The sequence below is a fragment of the Homo sapiens genome, chromosome 4, assembly GCF_000001405.40.
Source record: "Homo sapiens chromosome 4, GRCh38.p14 Primary Assembly".
In the NCBI taxonomy this organism is placed as follows: Eukaryota; Metazoa; Chordata; class Mammalia; order Primates; family Hominidae; genus Homo; species Homo sapiens.
In genome coordinates, this window is record NC_000004.12 from 113187364 (window position 1) to 113208960 (window position 21597).

Here is a 21597-nt window from a genome sequence, read left to right on the forward strand (position 1 = left end):
TTCAAGAGATTTGTTGTTCAAGTTCCCTTGGAATTATAAGTCTCGATGCCAAACTAATGGTCACTTTGGCCCTTTTTAACAACTCTACTTTTAGTGAAATTTTTGCATCTTAAAAAAGACACTAGTTTCTTATTAACCAATTGTGTCCCCAGCTAGCAGTTTTGCAATATGCAGACAGGAAAGCAAGTCCCGCAAACTGGGAACTTGGAACTTTAGCAACACAGGAAATTTGAGGGGTTTACAAAGAAAAGCTCACAGAGTATACAAATATAAACAGGGTTAAAATTAAACTTACCAGGGAGAGACACTATCACTGACTTACATGAACCTATTTCAAAGAATGATTTATAAACTAGAATTTAAGCTTCAGTGTCATATAACGACAGGAGCACAGTGTTGGAAAGAACAAGACCCAGGATTGACACATAATAGATATCCAATTAATATTTGATAAATGAATGATTGAGTGGATATTGGGCCAGCCACTTAAATCATTCTGAATCTCAAATTATCCATTCATGAAGTGGGAAATAATAATACCTGTTATATCAAATAATAGTTTATTGCATGCCTATTACATCCTCATCACTGTGCTACAGTGTATGTGTTACATAGTGTGTGTGCGTATATACATATGTACATATGTATAATCTTCACAACATACTTCTCTACTTTAAAAGGAGACGATTGGGTCCTCAGATGATACATATGAAAATCAATTGTGTTGTGCACACTCATTTAGGAAACCAAATTATGGCTCTGATGGTTATATTTACATAGAATTTGGTTAGCAAAGTTAGGCTAGCCACAAATGATTATTTCACCCACATCAGAGTAGATGGACGGACAAATTCTGGACAAGTACTAACAAGTATATTCCTTTTGATTTTGGCTATGAAGTTTCTAATTAATTGTTATAATTTCTTTTAGATAATTTATAGTCCTATGGGACACAGGAAAGCTTCTAATACTTAGGAAGGTTCTAGTCATGCCTCCTTAAGCATCCACTCTGCTTTCTAGATGGAAAGATCCACATATTATTAGGTTCTATTTACAAACCAACTCTTAAGACAACATTTCTTCTACTTATAGGGGGAAACTTCTTTTGGTCCCCTAAGAAAATACATCTGTGTGCCTCAGTTTGAGAAAACCTGCATCAAAATTTGAATGTTCCCTTTAAGTGATTCCTTGAAATAAACACAATCAGAAGCATGATCAAGAACAAAAAATTACTAAATGTTAATTAAATATGATTATCCAGATGACCCAGAATATGCTTCTATTAATGTGTTTCAGATTGGCACTAAAATAAACATGTAAAATTTAAAAATTGTCATAGAACTCTGAGATCCTTAATAACAAAGGCTATTTAAATTAAGTCCTTCCTTCAGAATCTAGTTTCCCCTTGTATGTGTTAATGGTAACCAATTTGGGCCTCAGAGAGTGAATGTCTCCTGATTTTGTTTCCAAAGATGGATATATTTATACCTGACTTGTTCATGCACTGACTTGCATTTGCTGACAAAATGTAGAGTACCTGGGTGAATTAAGCAAACTCCTATTTACCTTCATACTGTACACATTATTAATTAGCCCATTTATTGTACAAACATTATTGAAGTGCACCTTTTTTGTGCCAGGTACTATATTAGGTGTAGAGGTTACCAGTATTAATAAAATTTGACCATTTCTCATGAAAAAGAAGCCTTGTTGGGAAGATAAACAGGAAACACACAAATACAATAAATTGGTTAAAAGAACCAAATTTTATGATTGCTCAGAGGAGAAAGTGACTAAGCCAGCTTGTGTGTCTCAGACATACCTGAAATTGATACCAAACACCATTTATAGGAATTATTTTATAATGATGGAAAACAGAGTACCAGGGTGTTATTTAGAAGACTCTTCAAAGCTTTTATTGTCTAATGCTCCCTCCTCTCTCTTCCCACAGAGTCCAGCATGCCAAATTTGGCTTATTTTTAATTAAAATTATAAAAAATGTGGAGAAGATCGGAAGTCATTGTAATGCTCTAATAATATTACCAAACTTTTATATTGATACCTTGAAATATAGACTTGGTTTCTAGCACAATGTTTAGCAAACAATAAATAGTCAACAAATGTTTTAGTATGTGAATACTTGAATTTAGTTACTATTTATTGAATTTAAGCTATCCCTAGTCTATTAATTTGAAAACTCTGTATCATGTTTTATCCGAGTTTAGTATTTTGTTCAAAAATATTTCTTTACTTGTGCCTCATTAGAAGCAGGAGGATAGGGCACACACTGGAATCTGCTGTGGAATTTCTTTAGTTCTAGCCTCCCTTTTTGCTTCCTTTCCTTCGAGGTCCTGCCACCTCTTTCTTCTCAATTCCGATGTCACCGTTGGTGCCTGGAGGCATCTCCACTTCTGGCTGTCTCACTAGAGAATTCTCTTGTTTCATGGTACATACTCCTTCCCCTGCTTGCCAACCTTGATAAATTCTATGTCAGTAGGAGAAAGTTCAGGTTTTTAATGCCCTCTTTTAAGATGGGTTCATTGAAATGTTAAATGAGTCAGTGATAAACATGCAGAACTAAGACCTAGTCTTTTGGATTGTATCTTTAAAAACTTCTAGAAATTATACTCTTATTACTTGTCATCTGATCTTAGAAACACAGAATTTTGTTATTACTTGTCATCTGATCTTAGAAACACAGAATTTTGTTACTGTAAAAAAAAACTTAAGGGAGAAACCATTCTAAACCCTTTGCTCCATTTTTACTTAGCATTTACTTTTATTTATTTATTTATCTATTTATTTACTTATTTTGAGGCAAGGGGTTTGCTCTGTCACCCAGGCTGGAGTGCAGCCTCAGCTTCCCAAGTAGCTGAGATTACAGGTGCACACCACTGAGTCAGGCTAATTTTTTAGTTTTCATTTTTTGTAGAGACAGGGCTCTCTATGTTGCCAAGGCTGGTCTTGAACTGCTGGGCTCAAGCAATCCTCCCGCCTCGGCCTCCCAAAGTGCTCGGATTATAAGCGTGAGCCACTGTGCCTGCCTAGAATTCACTTTTAAATGCTGAGCTTGGCATGCATTTGACACCATAACATTCTACAATTCATTTTAATGTTTTTTTTTTTCTAATTTTGATGTATTTGGACATTAAATATCTACAAACCTAAAAGAAATAATTTTTAGAGACTGAGATATTTTCTATTAAAAAATAGAGCTAATGAGAAGTTGAGGTCTAAAGAAAATAAAATAGGATTATGATGCAGAGGCCATTGGTTTTTGTGTTACGGAGGCCAGGGAGGTGAAAAGGGGAGGAGGTTTAAAAGTGCAGTTTCTGAGCCAGAATCACCAGGTAGTTGATAACTCAGAATGTTCAGTTCAGGATTATATGAATTAATGCAATTAAGCACTTAGAACAGAACCTGACACAGAAGAATAAACTCTGATACATTTTAGCTATTATTTAAATGATTTGCCACTCACTTTTAAATTTAATTTTTACATTCCTTTAAACCATGACTATTATAATAAGTAGTTCAGATAATTTTTCTTCTTTGAGCCTTATAGAAATGTTTTCTTCTTATACATGTTAAGCCAACTACTAAAGAAATAATTTACCTATGTAATCTTATAAAAATTAATTTAACCAAAGAAATGAGAGACCACATGAAAATGGCATTTACATAGGAGAGTTGAGGCTGGGTATGGTGGTTCACGCCTATAATCCCAGCACTTTGGGAGGCCGAGGTGGGAGGATCACCTGAGGTCAGGAGTTTGAGACCATCCTGGCCAACAGGGTGAAACCCCGTCTCTACTAAAAATACCAAAAAAATTAGCCAGGTGTGGTGGCATGTGCCTGTAATACCAACTACTCGGGAGACGGAGGCAGGAGAATCGCTTGAACCTGGGAGGCGGAGGTTGCACGATGAGTTGAGATTGCACCACTGCATTCCAACCTGGACAACAAGAGCAAAATTCCATCTCAAAAAATTAAATGAATAAATAAATAAATAGAGTTGAAATGTTCAGTAGTAAAATTGCAACTCTTTAAATTATTGACAAGGGTGACTACTAATAAACCAAGCTCCTTTTACCCATCTACTTCCTAGGTTTTATTGTAATTCAAAATACTTAAAAAAATACATCACTTTTGCATACGTTAATACTTTTGCTAGCCTACGTAAACGTATGTTGAACTCAAAAATGCTCAATTCATCTCATCACATTTAGCCAAATCTTAGTGATGGAACATTGGCAGGGCTGTGGATGGGGAGAGCAGGAATATATACATGTATTACTGTTTGCATGTAACTGGGAAATAATAATACCTTACATTTGTTTTTTACTTCACAAATTACAAACAGAATTAACCTACATTGTTTGATACTCTTAAATAACTATCTGAGGTAGGCAAAGTAGGACATTTCCCTTTTTTACTATTGAAGAAACCTTAAATCCTATTGTTTAGGACTGGAGAGACAGCACGGGAGCTCAGATTTCCTTTTGCCCTGTGCCCGTGTTCTTCACTCTGCCACCGTCCCTCTCAGAACCCCAAATGTGGACACGATTTAGCCAATATTCTCAAAATGAAGAATTCTGCTTCATCCCATTGTCAGTCCTTTTATTTGCATCACAACACCCATCTAAAATGAAAATTAAGTTCAGAAAACTCAAATAAGTCTACCAACAAAACCATTTCTTTTCTTTTTTAAAAAATTTTACTTTAAGTTCTGGGATACATGTGCTGAATGTGCCGGTTTGTTACGTAGGTATACGTGTGCTATGGTGGTTTGCCGCATCTATCAACCTGTCATCCAGGTCCAACAAAACCATTTCTAAATGTCCATTATCCTCCCTTAAAGTGATTTTTGTGAGTGCCAATGTTTTATTTATTTGATCTAAAAGGACATCTAACTTCCCCAAGATGACCTCCTGTCTCAGGTCTTGACTAAACTTCTTTTTTGCAATCCAGAGCATGCCTGCATGTGCACACACACACAGACGTGTGTATAAAAAGTTTCACCAAAACCCCTCAAAATCAACAGAGTCCACCCACAGTGCACTCTGTCTTTCTTTATGCTACTTCATGATTTGAACCATGCTGATTAGCAGTCCATTAGATTGAATTTATGACCCGTTTATGCATCGTGACCTACAGTCTGAAATACTGGTTTAGCATTTAATTATTTTAAATAAAAAAGCATGGGTCTGGAAATCAGATAGATCTGAGTTTGGATTTTTTGCTCTTCCTCTTATAAGTGGTAGTGATCTTTGAGGCAAATCACTTGACTTCTGAGAATTTTAGTGTCATCATCTGTAAAGCATAATAAAATATGCTGTAATATAATATATGTAAAATGTAAAATATAATAGTGATTCCTATGTCATTAACATTTCTTATTCTTTCATTCATCAAATATTTATTTCTCAGCACTCATAACCTCTTCATTTTTCTTGATTTTAGTAAGATTCCGAAGACCAATTTTTACAGTTTTTTCTTCTCCCAGGCAAATGCACTACCATATTCAGTGTCATTCTCTATATTTTAGGGATTGCATTATTTAAAAAAAAAAAAAAAAACAACCCTTGATGGGGCTAGACAGGGAGAAAAGATCAGTGGCCAAAAAGGGAGCTACCATCCGGGGCGCTAGACGGGACTCCGCTATGGATGAAGTGGAGATCCTGGTGTGGACTATATAGAGTGACATCTTCAAAGTATTCTTATTCTAGCCCTTTTTCACTATGAAATAATCGATAACCTGAACAGCCAAATTCCAGATCTCATTGTAAATATTTTTAAGTTAATGAAGGCTTAGTAAATACCACATTAAATTATCATTTGGGAATTTAAAAGAAACCCTTGAAGATCTGAGAATAACTAATAAAACAGATATACTCTTGGATCACCTATAGTTTGATTTACTTTGTTAAATCAGAAACCTGTGGAGACCAGCCAAGGACACAGTCAGTTCAGTTAAATGTGTCTGACAAAGATGGCGCATTGTGTGCTTTGCTTTTCCTGATCTTCATAAAAAACTAAATCCTTAATCCCACCGCAGTGAATAAGTACCCTTGGTTTAGAGAAGCCGCTGTGGAAGAGAAGGGAAAAGTGCAGATAAAAGATATATGGGCGTAAGGACTGAGAAGGGATAGAGAACATGTAAATGTGTCATTTTCATTTTTAATTGGATTTTTTCTTCATTGTATAGATTATTTCTTTTGCCAATGTCATTTATATTAATGGCACAGTGAAACTGCAGTAATATTTCACATCTATTTGTATCTACATTTATGGCACGTATTTCATCTTGAGAAGAGTTCTTGGCTTGGGGGAATCTTGACACTGAAGTCCATTCAGAGTGGTGGTGAGGACTGAGAGGACAAGTTGCACTTTCCTTCACAATTACTGCCTTTGGATGTGCCCATTTTCTCTCTATCTCTTTCTTCTAACCTCTTTCAAAAACTTTCAAGAACTCATATATTTTAATTGCCTTCTCCAAAATATTTACATTTTCATACAATTAAAGATGTTATATAAGTTAGTTGTACTTTTCTGATATGCAAAAGACAGACTGTGAAACTCTTCATTCAACATGTGCCGTATGCAAAGCAGGGCAGACAGAGATCTGAAAATTAAATCATTGACAATATATGCTACTGTGTAGTTGATTTTCAGTTGTTTAATAATAAGTATTTGGGGGCCAAATATTTATCGGGACAAAAATTACATAATGTGTCCTTTACTTCTCCCTTAGAACCTAGCACTGAGAGCTGAGCACTTAGTGGGTACCTAGCAAATGCTTATGGATTAACAAATAAATTTGTATTAATTATGAATTTATAATAAGGTGAAAAACAGTTTGATGGATGATGATGCAAACATTTAACCTTCATGTAAGTTTAGCCATATCTTCTTGAATCTGTTCCTCAACTTTTCCAAATGGACTCCTCTGTGGTTTTTCTGTATATGTCAGAAACACTCAAATGGTTCCATGAAAATTTTTATTGGCTATCTGTTCTACCTGGGGTCATCCACTAGCTTTATATGATCACAGAAAGGCAGTCAATGGGGAAAGTATTTCATAAAATCAGCAAGAGAAGTAGTGAACAGAGCTTATTATAAATCTGATTATGAACAAAATGTTAAAATATTGCTTTATAAAATTTGATAGAAGTGCTGAACAAAAAAGATAACTTTGTTTTTTAGGATTGATTAATGTGCACATGGTTGTTTCAGTGTAGCATTACCATCTTTTTTTAAAATCTACCTGATATTTTTAGCCATTTTAATGGTATTATATAGAAATAGCATTATTCTGAAGTTGTGGTATCAAAGATGATATCATGTCTGGAACTCACAGATCTGCAAAGCCCAATATCTTGCTCACAATAAGAGCTCAATAAATATTTGCTGATTGTTTCAAAAAACTAAGTACATATTATTTTATCAAAATTAACTTACATAAAGTCAGTATCAATGACTTATCAATAGTATCCTGCTTTAGTTGTTTCCCATTTGGTATGCAGTATATATAAAATTGAGAGATATTTAAATCATTGCTAGAAATATAACCTGACACAGTGAAACTATAACCTGACACAGTGAAACTGATAGATATGTAGAACATTGCTGGCAGTGAATCTATACCTTGATGCAGCTTCCCCAAATTATAATGTTAAAATTATTCCCTCATAAATTTACATTTCAGTAGAAGACTGTTAGATAGCACATCTCTGAACTATAAATCTGATCATATTACATATCATTGTCATGTCTTTTGCCTCTAAATTTGGAGACCCTATCAAGAATATCAAGATTGTCTTTGTTCTCTGACTCTAGCATCATAATAAGATCATTTTATTGACTGATTTCAATTCGGTGGTCAGGAATTAACAATGAAATATTATTATTATTACTATTAAATGTCACAGTGTAAGAAGGACAGTTTCTATAACCTTCATATTTAGTACAACTTTTTCTTTTTTTACATTCTGAGTATGACTCACAGTCATTCTTAGATAAGTACTCTTCTATAACAATCTACATAATGTAAATAATTTCTATATTCCATTTCAAAATCCAAAAACATTTATGATTAGCTTCTGAGATTATTTATGAAATAACATTTTGTAGCATTACTTGGGTCTATATGATATGTGTAAAACAGTGTATTTCAATTTGCATGTGAAAAATGTTAAATTATTCAGTATCAATATTAGAATACCGTCTGTATAAGACAAGTGGGCTATGGAAGCTAATAATTGGCACCATGTACCAGCTGCTAAACTGTCACTTTATTTCCATTGCTCTGTTTAAGCCTTACTACTGTGTCAGTTGAAGACTTTAATCCTTGTTTTGAAGATGAAGAAACTAATATTTATTCTATTTTTCAGGTTGAATTAATATTTTCCTCTTGAAAATTTGTTCTTGATTTTTAAAATCATATTAATTTTCTTCTAAGTTTTTTCCAAATTGTTGGTCAGTATTTTGAGTCACTGAGTAGCTAGTTGGAGTGAGTTAGTTATAATATTAATCAAGGTATAACTGTTGTCTGTAAATCCCAGGAGGTGGGGAGTACATCTTCGTAAGTGTGAAAAGCGCTTAGCAGAGTGCTGCTTTGAGATACAAAAGGACTGAAAAAATATAAAGCTGTACATGTCCCAGAAAGTGTACAGAATTTTATTTTGTGCCAGTACAATAAATGGTATAAAATTGTTCTCTTTAAGTCATTTAAAAAATTTAGAGATTTCTTCGTTTAAAAAAACTGTTGAAATGAAGTTGCCAAAATCCATGTTTCTAATGAATACTTACCTTATTGCCTCTCTGAATCAAAAACACTGAAATTAGTCTCTCTTAAATTAATAGATTCAAGATTCTAATGCAAAAAGGAAAAAAAAGAAGAGATCAGAGTCTGTCTGTTCTCTGGGTTATATGCTTGAGTAGGATCAGGGCACTATTTTCCTCATTACTTCACTTCTTAAAGCCTTGTTTGTTTCTTCTCTCAGAATGGACTCAACGCTCTCCATCTGGCTGCCAAGGAAGGCCACGTGGGGCTGGTGCAGGAGCTGCTGGGAAGAGGGTCCTCTGTGGATTCTGCCACTAAGGTAACATTTATGTTGGTAGAACATTTTTTTCCTTAGAAAAGCGAAAATAATTTAAAGCTTTTCATTTTTATTTATTTTTTAGACAAGGTCTCTTTCTGTTGCCCAGGAAGTAGTGCAGTGGTACAATCACGGCTCACCGAAACCTCCACCTCCTGGGCTCAAGTGACCCTCCCAACTCAGCTGCCTGAGTAGCTGAGACTACAGGCGTGCGCCACCATGCCCAGCTAATTAAAAAAAATTTTTTTAGTATAAATGAGGTCTTGCTATGTTGCCTTCCTGGGCTCTAGCGATCCTCCTGCCTCAGCCTCCCAAAGTGCTGGGATTATAGGCGTGAACCACCACACCTCACCCACTTAAAGCTTCTTTTCCCTCTCGTACATTTCAGAGGTTGGCTAGAACACCAAGATTCTTAACCTGCAGAATTAAAATTAAAACCCCCTCCATTAAACTCTGCAGAGTGAATTGTTTCATTTAAGGACTTATGGGACATCAGTCTGAAAAATCTGTAAACCTAGTTTATAAAATTTTATCTTTCCCCCTTCGATTCACAGAGGATGAGATTAACATAATCCTTTGTAGACAATAGCACCTGTTTTCCTACGGTTAACTCATTGTTTAAAAATAAACCCATGTGGGAAACTTCTCTATGGAAAAGAACAAGTAATTTTAAATGTATACATTCAGTTTGGTATGAGACTATGCAGAATCGTTTATACTCTAATAAGAAAAGAGATTTTGGGTCATGGATTGAATTGTTAGGGCAATATTAGATTTTATCATCATAATGTGTTTGGTAAGGAAATTGGACTCATTTTAAAAGAAATGCACGGGACGCTTGGCAAACCAGAAACTGTTCCTTGATGCTGCTTTTGCTAAAACATATTTGAACTTGTCGAGGATTCATTTCATAAACAACAGACATTTAAAAAACTATTATGAATGGCAACAATCTTTGCCTTTGGAAGGTAAAATTTTATTTGGAAAAATACAGTGCTAATCAGAGCCAAGTCTGCTGACCAAGCCTTGAATGTGATAATATGGCTGTGGAAGATGTAGAGAGAGAAGTCAGGCACTCTGGTCTCTAGATGGGACACTAGTCTAATCTGGAGTAAACAAACAAACAAAAAAGTACAAGAATAAATTAAAAACATGGCCAGTTAACGTGGATTTCCAATGCCTCATGCATAATTGACAAAATGTGCATTGGTTCTGCTTGTAGTATAGTAAACAGCAATTCTAGCAGAAATTAAAAAACAAAACAAACTAACAACTGGCAATTCCACAGAAGTAAACATGTGAATTCACTATATGCAATAAATTTCTTACTTCGAACATAAAGAGGGAGTAAACATTTTTATAAGCATTTCTCTCTGGCACATCAAATACATTTTAAACAAATATTTAAAGAATATCTATTTGAAGCCCAGTGTGCTGGCTCACATCTGTAATCCCAGCTACTTTGGAGGCTGTAGCAAGAGGAGCACTCACAGGAGCCTAGGAGTTTGAGGCTGCCACTGTACAACCCCACCATCTATTATTTTTTGTCTTTTTAGTAATAGCCATTCTGACTGGTATGAGATGGTGTATAGTTGCCCATGTTAATATAGTGTATTCATTAAGCCAATTATTTTTGCCTGCTTAAGTGTTTATTACTATTTTTGTTTTTCTTTTCTTCTAAACTCTGTTGATATTTTAAAAATTAGGCTTACTTTTAATCATAGAATTGTAGAATTTCCTGGAAAAGAATCTCACTTAAACAGAAAAAAACTGAAGCCCCCAAATATTAAGTGAGTGGCTAATGCTCCCACAGTGAGCTGGAGACAGAAAGAGAACTAGAGTCCAAACTTTATGGCTTGGAATCTACTGGTTTCTGGTTTTTTTTTCTTTTTGTTATTTATTTTAATCACATCATAGGTATTTTTAATCTCTTGGCCTTTATTTTCACAAAAGGTTTAAATTATTTTTCATTGGTGTTAGTGTTGTGGCTGGTAAATTTTGATGTAGCAAATGGTAGAAAATCATTGGTACTGTTATGATTTATGTAAAATTTATTTTTCTTATTCCCAACATATTCTCAAGTGCCCCAGTAGCTGCAAACATAACTATAAGCAGCTCGTTTCTCTACCACTAAAAATTCCTAGGTTTCTTTGCAAGGTGAAAGAAACTCAATGTTTCAGTAAACCTTTTTTTAGTTAATATTTCTTTGCAATAGGATTCTTTAGTTGTTAATTAAATTGCATGAATCTCATGAGATATTGACACATACACACACCCCCCACAAATTTTTGATTCATTGAAAATACAGTCATTCCGTGTTAACACTAAACCAATATTGTGAAAATAGAAAAGGAAGACACTATATGAGGTGGCCAATTTTTTTTTTTGATGGTAAAAAATAATCTCTTCGTAAGTGGGCTACTATCTTGATAAATAACAAATTTTAATCGGTTAAAGTGATTAGTGAAGTTGAAAAATGCCTGCACATTTTGATTTCTGCAAAATTCAGAAACCTTGAACATTTTCTATTTTGTTTCTCCAAAACAGAAGGGAAATACCGCTCTTCACATTGCATCTTTGGCTGGACAAGCAGAAGTTGTCAAAGTTCTTGTTAAGGAAGGAGCCAATATTAATGCACAGTCTCAGGTATTCCATTCAGATTTTCCCTGATGTACATACATTTAAATTAGAACAGTTTTGTGAAATTGATTTAATGTGTTTAGCTAGCTGTTCTACTGATAAATTTATTATAAGTGCTTTGTTATTTATTTTAGCCAAATAATTTTATTAACCTTTATGATGAAGCTTATTTTTTCAACATATAATCTCCCTTTTAATGTAACTTAACACTGGAAAAATGTAAGTCTATCATTGTCTCTAAGTATTTTTCAAAAGAATATAAAGTGATTTTTTTCAGAATGACAGTGACATCTGTGAAATATGAATTATTCATGCAAGTTTCGTGTTACTCTATAAAAGTATTCTCTTTCCGTAAATTTAAAATATACTTGAAAGATTTACATTCCAGTGGAAAATCTGCCATAAGGTGGGAATAACACTACTTTGGTCAGTTTACACCCCTAATGTGAGCTTTACTAATAATAAATAGGAAATGTATGGTTTTAAAATGAAATTAAGAAAAAATTAAACAATAATTATTTAATCAAAATTATACTATAAGCTTGATCCCTTTTTTTTTCTGGTGGAAAAGGGGAGAAAATGTTGTTTTGCCCAAAGCTTTACTCTTGATATCTATTATATCATGTACGCATGTGGGGATTGAGAAATATATCTTTATAATAAAATTCATTCTCTCTATTTTTAGGGTTTTCTCCTTTGCCTTTCTGATAACACAGACTATATCATGGAGGATATTAGCAAAATAAGCCAGCTCTGTTCCATCTATTCTTTGGGATAACCTCACCAGGTTGCCTTTGAAGGCCATTGTGTAGGAATATGTATTAACTGTATAGTTCATTCATTAATTACCTAGGCATGGCTCTAGTTCTATAGATGGCACAAGTTCTGGACCTAGAAAATACAAAAGGCAATGGTTAAATCAGCCCTATTTTCTTTGATTTTAATTTTGGGAAAAATCTGTTGAAATTATGATAGATAAGACATTATTTTTATCTTTGTAATATCATGCTATTTTAATTAGTCATGTTTTTTTCCTTACAACTCAAACCTTCAGTTGGATGCACATCAATGTTTTAATATGTATTGAGAATATGCCTTAGTCTAAAACCCTTATTAGATGAAATTTTTATAATTTGGTACCATCTGTAAAGAACATCTGTATATTTTATAAAGTATAACAGCATTTTAGGCTTGGAGAGAAAGGTCCCTGCAGAAGCTACTGCTCCACCTAAGTGATTCAAAACTTTTCTTTTTCAAACTTTATTTTACTTAGATTCAAGGGGTACATGTGCACGTTTGTTACATGGGTATATTATGTAATCAAATAGTGAACATTGTACCCAATAGGTAATTTTTCAACCTTCAGTCCCTTCTCCCCCTCCCCACTTTTAGAGTCCCTAGTATCTATTATTTCCATCTTTATGTCCATGTGAACTCATTGTTTAGCTCTCACTTCTAAATGAGAACATGCTGTATTTGACTTTCTGTTTCTGAGTTATTTCATGTAGGATAATGGCCCCCAGCTCCATCCATGTTGCTGCAAAGGATGTAATTTCATTCTCTTTTATAGCTGCCTAGCATTCCATGGTGTATATGTACCACATTTTCTTTATCCCGTCAACCATTGATGAACACTTAGGTTGATTCCATGACTTTGCTATTGTGAATAATGCTGCAATAAACATAAGGGTGCAGGTGTCGCATGTTCTCACTCATAGGTGGGAATTGAACAATGAGAACACATGGACACAAGGCGGGGAACATCACACGCCGGGGCCTGTCAGGGGGTGGGGGGCTAGGGGAGGGATAGTATTAGGGGAAATACCTAATGTAGATGACGGGTTGATGGGTGCAGCAAACCAATATGGTACATGTACACCCATGTAACAAACCTGCATGTTGTGCACATATATCCTAGAACTTAAAGTATAATAATAATAAACAAAAGAGTGAAGGTGTCGTTTTGACGTAACGATTTCTTTTCCTTTGGGTAAATACCCAAAGTGGTATTGCTTTGGGTATTTACCCAAAGCAGTAGGGGGATTGCTGGGTCTAATGGTAGTTACGTTTTTAGTTTTTTGAGCTATCCCAATGCTGGAAAACCTTTCTTTATATCAAGAGAACATCTTTTTGCTTTAGACAGAGGTTTTCAAACTTTAGTCTGCATCATAACCACCTGCACGGCTTGTTGAAACCCATGTTTCTAGGCTCCTCCCCAGGGTTTCTGATTCAGTTCTGGAGTGGAGCTGGGCAATTTTCATTTTTTACAAGTTCTCAGATGATGCTAATGCTACTAGTCCAGGGACCACATTTCTGAACTATGGCTTTAGCAAATGTGAGGGGAAACTGGGTGTAAGATATTGCAGTAAGATTCACAAGGTATAGATTCAACTACATGACTGAATCAATAATGTACTTATACATCATGAAAATGAAAGCCTGGTTAAATTCAATTGTTCAGTGGAGGTTCTCCTGACTTTGACAGGAAATTCACCTATACATTGGTGCTGTTAAAATCTGTGAAAAGACCATATTTTACTTTCCTCAAAATGACAAACATAGTGTTGTTATAAAAGTTGACTAGTAGCAAATGCTGCAAGGTAAATGCTTGTTAAAGCTGTGATACCAGTTATTACACAGTAGTTATTGGAAATGTATATGCTTTGGAGGCTTCTCACGGAGAACAAGCTAAAACCATTTAATCATTAACTCGCTTTCAGAGTCAGAGGCTTTTATTTATAAGGTATAATCATGCCAAATTATAACAGATCTTAAAAGAAGGGTTGTATCATTATTAAGACGTTAAAATAATCCTATTTGTAATTTATACTATTAGGTCAATTTAAGATTTATATTGCAGGGGATTCTGACAAATAGCTTCAAACTAACATTCATATTGTGCGAAAGTTTTAGAGGAAGAAAAACTAGTAATCAAATTTTAGAATCTTTTCTAAATGTTTTTCTAAGTCTTTTGATAAGGCCTATGACATTATTTCCTGTATTGAATTTATGTACCCATCATTAATAGTTGAAAAAAAGTATTATTACTTAGAATATTTTATAATATAATGATTAAAATTAAAATACATGAGGGTTGATTATTTTACCCCCTGTGTGTGAGCCAATCCCAAAACTGATGGTTTCAGAGCCACTGAGGGCTGATTTGAGTTCCTCCACAGATGTTATTTCCCTCAGTACTGTCTTATGTAAGATACAGGATTCTTTATGTGACAATATGGGGTGTCAAGTGGATGGATGGGAGACTTGCTTATGGCAGTTAAACAATCTCTTCCTTTTGAGAACCAGAAAAAGGACGTAGGGAATCCTGAATGTACAACAAAATGTCTGAATTTTGTATTCAAGTGATACCTTCTTCCACATCTTTCTAAGAACATAATTTAAACCACTGAAATGCAGAATAGTCTGAAATTATAGGAACATTGGCAGCTGCCTAGTACTATGCCTTTGGCAAACTTCCGAGTTATTTGCAAACAGACTGCTAAAGTTATTTTTGAATTAAGAAGATAACAAATTTTCTGAAAAAACCTTCAAGGAATATATTCAGTAAAATTTTTGGAATTATAGGTTATGGGGAAATACACACTTACGGATTTTTCTGCATTTTGCATATAAAGTATGAGATTCATGTGAGGCTTACCGCCACATGATACAGTACCAATTTTGGTAGAGAGTGTCCTTGGTTCATTAAGAGTTCCAGAACACCAGCTGGATCAACTTCAGTACTTTAAATGGTATAGTGTAATTGATTTAGTAACAATGAACAAATGTTTATTTTTGTTTCTTTGTTCAACAGTGGTATCAGTGTGGTCTCTGCTGAGCCAGTTCTTGGTGTGATTTTAAGTATTGCCCCTGACCATGTAGCTCTCTGGCTTGGTTCTTTGGTATCCTAGATTCAGTGACATGGAGGTCTCATCCATGGTGCCGGAATTATGGAGTTAGAAGTCAAAATCATAGAGTTGAGGAATGTTATTTGCTTTGAAGATGATTTTTTGCTTTCTGAAAACAAAGTCACTTGCAGAAGATCTTTAGTAGGCATCTTATCCTCTAAATAATCCTACATACGTGATGTTGGGATGATTTCCATTTAAGCTGTATGGGACATTTGTTTGGTCACTTTTATAACCTGTAAGTCTGTTAGACTCAGAGACATTACTTTTAAAAAAATGTTCAAATTTCAAATTCTATATTGCTATCAAAGAAACTCTACTTAGAAAGTTTTTAAAAAATATTCTCAAAATCATGAGTTTCTTTAAATACTTGTAGCACTCTTTGTTGACATTTTGCCTATTGATATTTGCCTATCTCTGATTGCAAAAAAAAAAAAATACATCTTTAATTTCTCCAAGATGGTAAACTTCTTGGGAGCAGATAATTTTTTCTCACACTTCTTTATAGTTTCAGGATTATGCATAATACCTTGCACATATATGATTGGAGGATGAATATATGCATGTATACTCTTTATGTATAAGTCTTAGCTTTGTTGTGTATTCCAATAACTCCTAACAGTAGACATTAATATTAATAATAATACAGGTAATAACATTGACTGCCAGGCATTGTCTCTAGTGTGTTGTGTACATTATCTCTTTTGATATTCCTTTACTTTATCATTATTGATGACAAATTGAGACTCAGGTGGCTCATTTACTTGCCCATAATCTTCATCCCCAGGCAATATTGCTTCTCATAGTTCCCGTAACAGTTCTACCTTCTCTACAGACCTCAAAGAATAATTTTTAAAATTCCTTTTTCTTCTAGCCCAAATCCTATTCAGGTCCAAATAAGCTGATTTTCTTAAAGTAGAATCCATGTAAAAGGTTTAAGATGGAATTTCTCACTTAATATTTTTTATGAACTATAAATGTCCTGCAAAATGTTCAAAAAATGAAGGATATTCTGCTGTTACCACCAAGGAAATCTGGCTTTAGAATTTCCCCCTTATTATTTTCTCCACAAAAAAAATATAATTTTTAGTTCTCATATAAGAGAATTTTTTCTTTAGATACTTATTATTAATATATTCTCTAATTATAAAATCATTAAAATCGGAAGGAGCACTCTAAATAAAGCAAAATTGTCTTAAAAATGTTTTTTATTATTACAAAGCAAATTGGTTTATATAATGTATATTTTTACATGATAAAAAAGGTAAACTGGATCCTAGACTAGACACCATCATCAAACATGAGAAGCTAAGCAAAATTTTGGAGAATGGGTATGGTAAATTTCCCTTCCTTTTAGGAAAATATGACTTTTTTATAGAAGAAGGGAAGGGCTAGAAGTTCTCATGAGGCTCCTCAAGAAGTTTGTGTCTGGGGCGGTCAGTCTGCCTTGGAGCAAATTCCAGTGTCACTAAACTACAGCCCAGTAATAATATCTTGCATTCAGACCCTTAATTTTAAATTGTATTTTTATTTATTTAATCTCATTTATAATTATGTGAATCAACAATGAATAGTCTCATTTTGGACATGGAAAAATTTGAGGCATAGGTAGGAAAACCAAAGTCTCATAACAATTAGTGATGAAGCCACAAACCTGTGGTCATTGGTACGGACACCTTCCTTCCAAATAATCCTAGGCATACCTCAGTCTTTCCCACTAAACTGTTGTACACCTTCTACTTGAATTAGGGAAGTCCAAAACCCTGCTTGCCTAGGCGCTTAGATGCTGCTATAACTAAGAGCCTTCCGCAAAGCTAGGCAACTAGTGAGTAAAGCGATTCAGGTGTACTGGGAGGGCGTATCCATAATCTGGGCTTCATACAACCATCCACCTCTTAGACTGTTCTTCAATCAAACAAAATTTTTAACATGTGTAAGACTTGGCCGGGTGCAGTGGCTCACGCCTGTAATCCCAGCACTTTGGGAGGCCGAGACGGGCGGATCACGAGGTCAGGAGATCGAGACCATTCTGGCTAACACGGTGAAACCCCGTCTCTACTAAAAATACAAAAAAATTAGCTGGGCGTAGTGGCGGGCTCCTGTAGTCCCAGCTACTTGGGAGGCTGAGGCAGGAGAATGGCGTGAACCCGGGAGGCGGAGCTTGCAGTGAGCCGACATCACGCCACTGCACTCCAGTCTGGGCGACAGAGCAAGACTCCGTCTCAAAAAAAAAAAAAAAAAAAAAAGACTTAAATATAATTTCTGAAATTGGTGATGTCCTTTTCAATTCATTTTTCTTATCTGTCTCTACATTCTTCTACTTGTTCTTGGAATTTCTTGTTTCTGTCCTCTCATAAGGATTCTAGAAACAGATTTGTTTTCTTTTCATCTTATTTTAATATCAAGTGAGTTCAAATAAGATGTTCTTACTTGGCATTTTTGATATCTCACTGAAAATTTATTTCCATTTTTATTGGTTATTTTTGCCTGTTTTGTGATTAATACTCTTTTCTTTCAATCCTGAAAATATTGTTTCAAAAGAAGGCTTTCCTATTTATAACTCAAGGATGATTAGGTGATTATTTTATTAGCTTTTGGATTTCTACAGACCACGACTATTAATTCCAGTTGTAAGATTATATCACCATTGGTTACACCCCCAGATTTATGGGGGTGCATGCACCCACTATATGCAATGATAAATGTCTTTTCAGTTGTGGCTTCCAATAGTTTTTTCTTCATTGGCCCTAACCCATTGTCACAGACAATGGAATTGAACTGTGAAGAGGAAGGAAACACACACAGTTGGTCAGCATGCCCATTACCTTGAATTGCTTCCATATGGTCTTAGAGCCATCCTTGGCTCTGAAAGCAAAAACTTGTAATGGAACATTCTGTTCTGTGACATATGCACAGAGACACACACATACATGGATGCACACATATGCACACACACACATACACACACAGTGTATAAAGTGGGATCTATAGTCACAGATTTTTTTAAACAGGTTTTATTTTCAGGGTTTTCCCCCAAAATATATGCATATGGTTCTTTTTTCCTCTTTTTTAAAATTTAATTTAAATTTATTTTAAGTTCCAGGATACATGTGCAGAACATGCAGGTTTGTTACACAGGTAAACATGTGCCATGGTGGTTTGCTGCACCTATTAACCCATCACCTAGGTATTAAGCCCAAAATGCATTAGTTAGTTTTCCTGATGCTCTCTCTCCCCCTGCCCCCTGACAGGCCCCAGTGTGTGTTGTTCCCCTCCCTGTGTCCATGCATTCTCATTATTCAGCTCTCACTTATAAGTGGGAACATATGTTTAGTTTTCTATTCATGTGTTAGTTTGCTGAGAATAATAGCTTCCAGCTCCGTCCATGTTCCCGCAAAGGACATGATCTTATTCCTTTTTATGGCTGCATAGTATCCCATGGTGTATCTTTCTTAATAAGGGTCTTGTTTTTTTTTCCATTGGGAGTATTACTATCTGTAATACAAATCCTTTGAAATTCAAATGAAGGCAGGTACTTGCATTTGACAAGGAATAAAAAAGAAGTCAGGACACTTGTGTTTTTGACTCTGAAAATCAGGCCACTGGGTGATTACAAATTTGCAGGGGCATCTGTGCTCCTCAGCACTCCAAGTTAAAGAAAATATGCTTTTTCCAGTTCTCTATATGCTTGGGAAAAAGATGAGAATCGATGTCTTTAAAGTTTTGCCCAGGCTGGGTGCGGTGACTCATGCCTGTAATCCCAGCACTTTGGGAGACTGAGGTGGGTGGATCACTTAAGGTCAGGAGTTCGAGACCAGCCTGACCAACATGGTGAAACTGCATCTGTACTAAAAATACAAAAATTAGCTGGGCTTGGTGGTGGGTGCTTGTAACCCCAGCTACTCAGGAGGCTGAGGCAGGGGAATCATTTGAACCTGGGAGGCAGAGGTTGCAGTGAGCTGAGATCGCTGCACTGCACCCCAGCCTGGGCAACAGAGTGAGACTCCATCTCAAAAAAAAATTGCCAAGAAAGACATTACTATTCTCTATTCCAGTAAAAAGCCAACACTAAAATTACTACTCTACAAAGCGTGCACACGCACACACACACACACACTCCCACATCCTAAAAGACAATAATATTTTCATTTATAATAAAGTAATTTTTCAACTTTTGAAATAAAATTAATACAATTATATTTTGCCTTTATGCTCATTTATCTGGGGACAGATGGTATGGAAAGGCTGAATCCTGCTTGTCATTTTATTCTGAAATTTGAATGAATAATCGAAGACATCATCACATCTAAAATCTTCGGTAGATGTCTCATTTATTTATCACTACACAGGCCTATCCAAGTCCAATGTTATTGCATTTTAAAGGAACTAAATTTGTAGTCAGTTAAGACTTGTAGGGAGAAAAGTAAATGGTCTCCAAGTTCTGTTAATAGAAATAGACTTCAAATTTTACATAAGAGTTACTTCTTTTTCTCCCCTTCTGAGTTAAAATGAAAGATAAGCTACTCTGGTAGTAAATGGTTAAAATAGTACTGTAGCATTCTGCTTCTTACCTCAAATCTAACAGCATTAATGTGTATATTCCACAACAACTAAGAAGCTAGGTGAAACCATCAAGAACCAAAATGGTGATCCTTTGAGGCAAGGATCACAAAGCAAAAAAAAAAAAAAAAAAAAGAAGAAGTAAAAACATGACACGAATTAAACTTTCCAATAGAAACTGATTGGAAGTAATAATTCACGCACTCACTCACTCAGCAGGTATTTGGGCATCCAGTGTGTGCCCTCGAACACTTGCTAAGCCTACAATGATGAGGTGGGCAGGGGGCATGCGGAAGAAGACCTAGGAAGTGGTAACTGAACTTCTTTTATAAAAGAAAGTGTTAATGCGCACATCAGCGGTCAGGGGATGAAGTGTGCTATGGGCAAATACAATCATACATGCAAGAACCTAAAAGAAATGGGCTATCTGGAAGCTGAAACATCCAGGGGAAATGCAGTGTATGAAATGAAGCCTGAGGAAGAAAGTCAGATCCTGAAAGATTTTATGAGCCATATTAAGGTTTTCGTTCTAAGACTTGTATCCTAAGCCCAATATGAAGCTGGCTTGGGGGTGGAACAAGCTCAGGATTCTGTTTTGGATTCTGAAAACATGACCCTGGTGCAGCTTGGAGAACAAGTCGAAGGGAGTCAGGTGCAATGCAAAGCAAATCATTTGGAGACCGTTGTCATGATCTACTCCATATAAGAGGTGATGTTAGCTTGGAATGGAGTAGTAGTGGTCTGGATGATGGAGAAAAGGGGACTGTTATAAGACTGATTAAGGACCAGTTTCAGAGCACTTGATGATGATGGCCTATGGGAGGAGAGGAAGACGATAGTGTCAATAGATCTCTCCCTTGCCTAACAGTATAGATGGTAATGCAACACTATAATATAAAACAGTGCATAAAGACAAAGATTTGTTTGTTTATTTTATTTTATTTTTTTTGAGATGGAATCTCACTCTGTCACCCAAGCTGGAGTGCAGTGGCATGATATAGCTCACTGCAGTCTCAAACTCCCAGGCTCAAGCAACCCTCCTACCTCAGCTTTCTGAGTAGCTAGGACTACAAACATGCACCAACATGCTGAACTAATTTTTTAAATGTTTTGTAGAGACAGGGTCTTGCTATCTCGCCCAGACTGGCCTTGAACTCCTGGGTTCAAGCAGTCCTTCCACCTCCACCTCCCAAAGTGCTGGGATTATAGGCATGAGCCACTTTGTTTCTGGTTTTGTTTTTGGTTTTGGTGAGGAGAGTAAGAGATCATGAATAGCATTTGAACTGCTTGTTATACATCCCTAAAAGAAATATAAGTGGTTATTACATCATTTGATGTAAATGGTTATTAAAGCAGTGGACTCGAATGAGACTGCCGGAGCAGTAAAGA

The 21597-nt window shown here is 35.4% G+C and overlaps 1 protein-coding gene across 66 annotated transcripts in view; it reads left to right on the plus strand.

The window, feature by feature from the left end:
• ANK2 (ankyrin 2) overlaps window positions 1-21597 on the plus strand; it is a 678115-nt gene that overhangs the window by 481742 nt on the left and 174776 nt on the right. For all 66 annotated transcript variants that reach the window (NM_001386186.2, NM_001386148.2, NM_001354269.3 and 63 more), the window contains 2 exons: window positions 9005-9103; window positions 11648-11746. In NM_001386186.2, coding sequence (NP_001373115.1) covers window positions 9005-9103; window positions 11648-11746 — 198 coding nt within the window. The remainder of the gene's footprint in view (window positions 1-9004; window positions 9104-11647; window positions 11747-21597) is intronic.